This window comes from Homo sapiens, chromosome 10 (assembly GCF_000001405.40).
Source record: "Homo sapiens chromosome 10, GRCh38.p14 Primary Assembly".
Classification (NCBI taxonomy): domain Eukaryota; kingdom Metazoa; phylum Chordata; class Mammalia; order Primates; family Hominidae; genus Homo; species Homo sapiens.
In genome coordinates, this window is record NC_000010.11 from 30,717,376 (window position 1) to 30,723,957 (window position 6,582).

General features: G+C 42.9%; 1 long non-coding RNA gene across 1 annotated transcript; it reads left to right on the plus strand.

Annotated features, from left to right (window-relative positions):
• The first annotated feature begins 5,843 nt into the window (after positions 1 to 5,843).
• Positions 5,844 to 6,365, plus strand: LINC02644 (long intergenic non-protein coding RNA 2644). Its single transcript, NR_134497.1, has 2 exons — positions 5,844 to 5,961; positions 6,044 to 6,365. It is a non-coding gene; the product is annotated as a long intergenic non-protein coding RNA 2644 (long non-coding RNA).
• The last annotated feature ends 217 nt before the right edge of the window (positions 6,366 to 6,582 follow it).

Genomic DNA, 6,582 nt, shown 5'->3' on the forward strand with positions numbered 1-6,582 from the left:
GAGTTTTCAGAACCTGACATTGTTAAACATACTGCTTGTCCCGGAGTTGTGTATTTTGTAAATGTTCAAGGGAACTATTTGGAAACTTCTTTCCACCATTCAGCAGATTATCAGAATTGATAAGAGTATGTTATGTGCACTTAAGCCGCAGCTGCTATAGATAGCAGTGCCTTCTTCTTCCAGCTAGACAATGCTTTTTTTTTTTTGAAGCAGTTCTCTTTATAAAATGTTATTTTGATAGTTTGTGGATTCTAAAATATATGTATATATTTATATAAACACCATATAAGTCAAATATGTATTTAACAAAGCAATATGTATTCATTCACTTTCAAGATTTTTTTTGGTGTCAAAATAATATGAAAAGGTAGATGGAGTTGCTTCTGTTGAATTAGCTCTGCCACCAAGACGTATCTTCATACACGTTTGGAAACGTTTCCTGCAGCATTAGGTATGACTTGTTCTAAGTACTGCTTCCGGTGCTAAAATGAACAACAAATTTGTACTTAATGGCACGGACCCTGGAGAATTTATGCGAATCAACCTTTCTACCTTAATATCTCCCCCTAAATGCCTTGTTTTTATGTACAGTTTATATACAGAAAAGTTTGCTCTGCATCTTCCATGATGGTTTGGAACATTATCTACAGTTTTACTCTCAAATAACCAAAATAAAAACATCTCAATTTCTAATACCTGTTGTAAACATTACACATCATTTTGTGATACAGGACTTTTGTCTTGTGCGTTTGGAAATAAAAACATCAGAATAAACATAACAATTAATTTATTAGTTCAAATTAAATTAAATTCCAAGCATGTTCCTTTCTGGAAATCTTTTTTTTTTTTTTTTTGGTAAATGTTAACCTAGCACCAATATTGTATCATTAAATATTAATGGCTATATATTTGAATTTCGTTTAGGGCAAGATTTTATACAAGTTCATAAGATTAAATAAAGAGCTATTTGCCCCATAAAATTATTACTCAGTACTATATTGAAGACATATTTTTGCAAATCATCACTCAACAGAAGTTCTTTTGCTTTTGGTTTTTTTTTTTTTTTTTTTTTTTTTTTTGAGACGGAGTCACACTCTTGTCGCCCAGGCTGGAGTGCAATGGCGCCATCTGGGCTCGCTGCAACCTCTGCCTCCCGAGTTCAAGCAATTCCCCTGCCTCAGTCTCCTGAGTAGCTGGGACTACAGGTGCCTGCCACCACGCCCGGCTAATTTTTTGTATTTTTAGTAGAGATGGGGTTTCACCACCTTGGCCAGGCTGGTCTCAAACTCCTGACCTCAAGTGATCCACCCTCCTTGGCCTCCCAAAGTTCTGGGATTACAGGCTTAAGCACTGCACCTGGCCTCAACAGAAGTTCTTTACCCCACAACTCTGTCTACATTTCAATTTCAAGATCTCAGTGCCTAAAAAAAAAAGGATGCAGATAAGACATCTAGAAAACTTAAAAATGAGTTAGAAAACTCCTCACAAGAGTATATGTTCTTAAAATACGAATTCATGGGTTTGAAGGTATTCCGTAGACCTATTATGAGTTGTTACAGCCCTTCCCTATTCCCTGTTAGCCTAAGTTTAACACATTCCGTCACAGCCCATTTGCCTGAAACTTCAGAACTTACGTGCCCCACCCTTTCACTGCACCAGGGTGGGGACCTGTAACCTGCTCCTGGTCTCACCACTTTATGATTGTGTAATACTGGGCTGTCACTGAACTTCTCTGCCATGACTTCCTTTAAAAAGGAGACACTCCTAGCTATCTCGCCTACATCACAAAATTCCAAGCAAGGATCTAGCAGAAGCTGTTTGAAAAATGCGAAGTGCTAGATACCTGCTGGTATTAAGATCATTGTGTTGGTAGCTGAAATAGGAAAGCAGGGGGGTTAAATTAGGGAATGTTGTCACACACCTAGAAATGATGGATTAAACAAAGCAAGGAGAGGAAAAAGGAGAGAGAGAGGTTCAAAGTCTATGTCCCATAGATAGCACGAAAAGTGGCGTGGAGAAAAGTCACTAGGGCAACCTGAGTGTCTGAAAGAGAGAGGCAGGGTTGCAACCTCTGCAGCAGGTTCCAGATACCACCTGGATCCTTAGATACCCAGGAAGGAGCTCGAGTTGCTACAGGAACTTCCAGTGGAGAGCCGCTGTAATGAATAAATAAGACAGGTGTCCTCATTAATATTCATTAACACCAGATTTTCCCAAAGTGCTTAAAAATCATGAATATCTACTTGTATTAAACATTGTCCCCCCAAAATGTGCTGTCCGTTTGCTTCTCACCTCTTGTTGAATAAGACTCCCCAGCTTGGAGAGCCAGTTTACTTATTGCCTCTTTTCCTCTGAATTGTTTCCTGTGTCTCCTTCCTGCTTATAGAACCAGATCCTATTTTCCATGTTTTTTTCTGATCCTTTTCCTTCCATAACTGCAACCTTTGACCTTTGCACACTGGGAAGGGACCTAGCTGAAACACTTGAATTGCTAAACCTTAAAGTCTCAGCCCATAAATTGACACTGGTGCTTGGGGGTTTTCTCCACAGTCGTCCAAACTCAAACCCCCGCTCTCACTAAATGCATCAGGGGCAGGGAAGTGGGATGTCCTGAATTTGCTGTCCTTGAACTAAGGAACTCGTGAGAGGGGTGGGTGTTTGGGTTGAGATGGATATCAGAGGTGCCGCAGGGCAGAAAGGATGTTGAGCGTGTTCCGCAGCTTTGGATGAACTGTGCGAATATGAGCCACTTCCAGAGTGGGACAACCCTGCCTCTTTGTTCCCAAATCCGAGGAGGGGAAAGGCTGCTGCGAGCCCACTTCTTTCTCTCCTATTTTACATTTCCTGCCTCATTCTTAGAATTCCCATTTTGGTAAAAGGAAACGTATTCCAGAAACAGTTCCAGAATTCATTTTGGTCCTTTTGTTCTGTTTTTTTTTAATTATAAAATTAGCCGTGTGTGTCCACACAGAGACTTGGACACAGATGTTCATAGCGGCATTATTCGTAATAGCCCAGACCTGTAAACAACCCACATGACCGTCAACTGAGAAACAGAAAAACAAAATGCAGGACCTCCAGGCGATGGGGTCCTCCCCGACAGCAAAGGGACAGATATTCCTGCGTATACATGACGTACACCTGATACTCACTACAACATGCATACGCCTCAAAAGCATTAAGTGAAAGAAGCCAGGTGCAAAAGGCCACATATTGTTTGATTCTTTTTATATGAAACTTCCTGAAAAGTCAAATCTGTGCACACAGCAAGATCAGTGGTTGCTGGGGTTGGAGATGGGAGTGGAGGTTGACTGCAAATGGCATGAATGATCTTTTTGGGGCGATGGAAATGTTTTAAAACTGGCTTGTGGTGATGGTTGCACAACTCTATGAAGGATTAAAACTTATGCTAGGCGCGGTGGCTCACTCCTGTAATTCCAGCACTTTAGGAGGCCACAGCAGGGGGATCCCTTGAGCTCAGGAGTTCAAGGCCAGCCTGGGGAACACAGAGAGACCCCATCTCTACAAAAAAAAATTTTAAATTAGTCAGGCATGGAGGTTCACACCTGTAATCCCAGCTACTAAGGAGGCTTAGGCAGGAGGATCACTTGAGCACCAGAGCTCTAGGCTGCAGTGAGCTATGATCAAGTCACTGCACTCCAGCCTGGGCAACAAAGTGAGACCCTATCTCCAAAAAAGAAAAAAAATAATAAAAAAACTTATTCAACTACATGAGTGTATTTTATGGCATATACATATTATACCTCAAGAAAGCAACTTTAAAAAGTAGTAACACCTGCTCTATGTAAAAAATGCAAACATTACAAGGATATATAATCTAGAAATTGAAAATCATAGATAATCACACTTCCCAAATACAAGTACTTTAATAATCTGGTTTATATTCTTCTAGAGTTGTCTTTACATCTACTAACATAAATGTGTATGCTTGCCTTTTTTTAAAGAAAACTTGTGCACCTGTAGTCCCAGCTACTCATGAGGCTGGGGTGGGAGGATCACTTGAACCTAAGAGTTTGAGGCTGCAGTGAGCTATGATTGTGCCATTGCACTCCAGCCTGGGTAACATAACGAGATTCTGTCTCTTAAAAAATAAAGAGAGGCTGGGCGTGGTGGCTCATGCCTGTAATCCCAGCACTTTGGGAGGCCGAGGCGGGTGGATCACAAGGTCAGGAGATCGAGAACATCTTGGCCAACATGGTAAAACCCCATCTCTACTAAAAATACAAAAGAAATCAGCTGGGCATGGTGGCGCGCACCTCTAGTTCCAGCTACTCTGGAGGCTGAGGCAGGAGAATTGCGTGAACCCAGGAGGCTGAGGTTGCAGTGAGCTGAGATCACGCCACTGCATTGCAGCCTGGGCGACAGAGTGAAAATTCTGTCTCAAAAAAAAATAAATAAATAAATAATAAATAAAGAGAAAAACTGTGTTCTGTCTCTTAATTTTTCTGTTAACAATGGGCTGTAGACACTAGTCCTTGGATGTTTGCTTATGTGTGTGTGAGGCTTTGAAATCCCAGGAGGCACGTGGTGAAGACCTAAACTGAGGATTGCTCAGGGTAGCGGTCTCCAACTTTTTTGGCACTAAGGACGGATTTCATGGAAGGCAATCTTATCATGGATGGGCAGCAGGTGGGGGATGGTTTCAGGATGATTTAAGCGCATTACATTTACTGTGCACTTTATTTCTATTATTACTACATTGTAATATACAATGAGATAATTATACAACTCACCATAATGTAGAATCAGTGAGAGTCTTGAGCTTGTTTTCCTGCAACCAGACAGTCCCGTCTGGGGGATGATGAGAGACAGTGATAGATCATCAGGCATGGGATTCTCATAAGGAACCTGCAGCCTAGATCCCTCACATGCGCAGTTTACAATACAGTTTGTGCTCCTATGAGAATCTCCTAATCTCCTTTGCTGGGGTGGATCTGACAGGAGGCAGAGCTAAGGTAGTAATGCAACTGATGAGGAGCCGGCCACTGTGAATACAGATGAAGCTTCCTTCTCTGGCTCACCGCTCACTTCCTGCCACACAGCCCGGTTCCTAACAGGCCGCAGACCAATACTGCTGGTCTGTGGCCCAGGGATTGGGGATTTTTGGCCCAGGGCCCCTACCCCACCATCCTCAGCCATCCCTCATTCCTCCCTGAGGGTAGGCACAATCAAGCCATGGCCCAGAGAGAGACTTTGGCATTCATTTTCACAGGTCTTTCTTGAGCTTAGATCCAGAATAAAGCACACATGTTTCAAAACAGGCCTCTGTGCAAATCCTTTCTGAACTAATGTAGCCACTAGTAATGGGGGACAATTACCAAGAAGTCAATAAAGAGTACCAGTGCAAGTCCAGGTGCAGTGGCTCACGCCTAAAATCCCAGTGCTTTGAGAGGTTGAGGAGGGAGAATCACTTGAGCCAGGAGTTCAAGATCAGTTTGGGCAACATAGTGAGACCCTGTCTCTACAAAAAATTTAAAAATTAGCTGGGCATGGCGGGGGCGTGCCTTTAGTCTCAGCTACTCAGGATGCTGAGGCGGGAGAATCTCTTGGGCCCAGGAGGTAGAGGCTGCAGTGAGCTGTGATCCTGCCATTGCACTCCAGCCAGAGCAACAGAACAAGACCCTGCCTCTTAAAAAAAGTACAGTGCTCTATTTTCAAAAATATCAAGGTAATTCAAATGCAAAAACATCAAGGTAATTCAAATGCAAATAACTGAGAATTAACTGTATTGGTAGGGCATTTGGCCCAAAGAAGACTTCCTCTTTTTGAAAAGTAAATACATTGCATTGCATGCATTTGCTCTTTTCCCCAGAGAAAGGATGTTGGGCTGCTCCAGACCTCTGACAATGGATGCACCCCCAGGATTAGATCAGAAAGATGGACCTGCCAGGGGAAAGCGTCAGAGGCTTCTGTTCCTACCATCAGTACCATGGATGCGCTGTGAGTGTGGAGCCTGTATGGAAATGCCCCACTGGTTTCACAGTGTCTAAAGCTGATCCTTGGGGACTAATAGAGAAGAAAGATTAACAGACCAGCGTCCCTTGTTTCTAATACTGAACTGGCCTCTACTGAGCTTTTGCCTCTACTGAGCTTTTGTCGCGCAGCTGAGATTGGAAAGGAAGCCTCAGGAGCAGAAGCGAATGCAAGCTAACAGAAAGAAAGGCAGCGCGGAGGACGCCACAGCCCCAGCGCCCTCCCAGCCTCAGCAGAGCTGTGGGGATTGTTCTTCACATCTGACGCCATGGGGTTCTGGAAGTCTCTTAAGGGATATATTGGAACTGACTTGTATTATTTGGAAATCGACATAAATTGTCTATTATTAAATCTCACTGAATTAAGTCCAACTTTACCATCTGAACACCGTTTTAGCATTCATCCTGAAATGGCTGGAACATGATTTGTTAGCTCCATAAGGGTAAAGAAATATTAGCTGGGTGCAGCAGCTCATGCCTGTAATTCCAGCGCTTTGGGAGGCTGACAGGGAAGGATCGCTTGAGCCCAGGAGTTTGAGACCAGCCTGGGCAACATAGTAAGACCCTGTTTCTAAAAAAAATCAAAAAG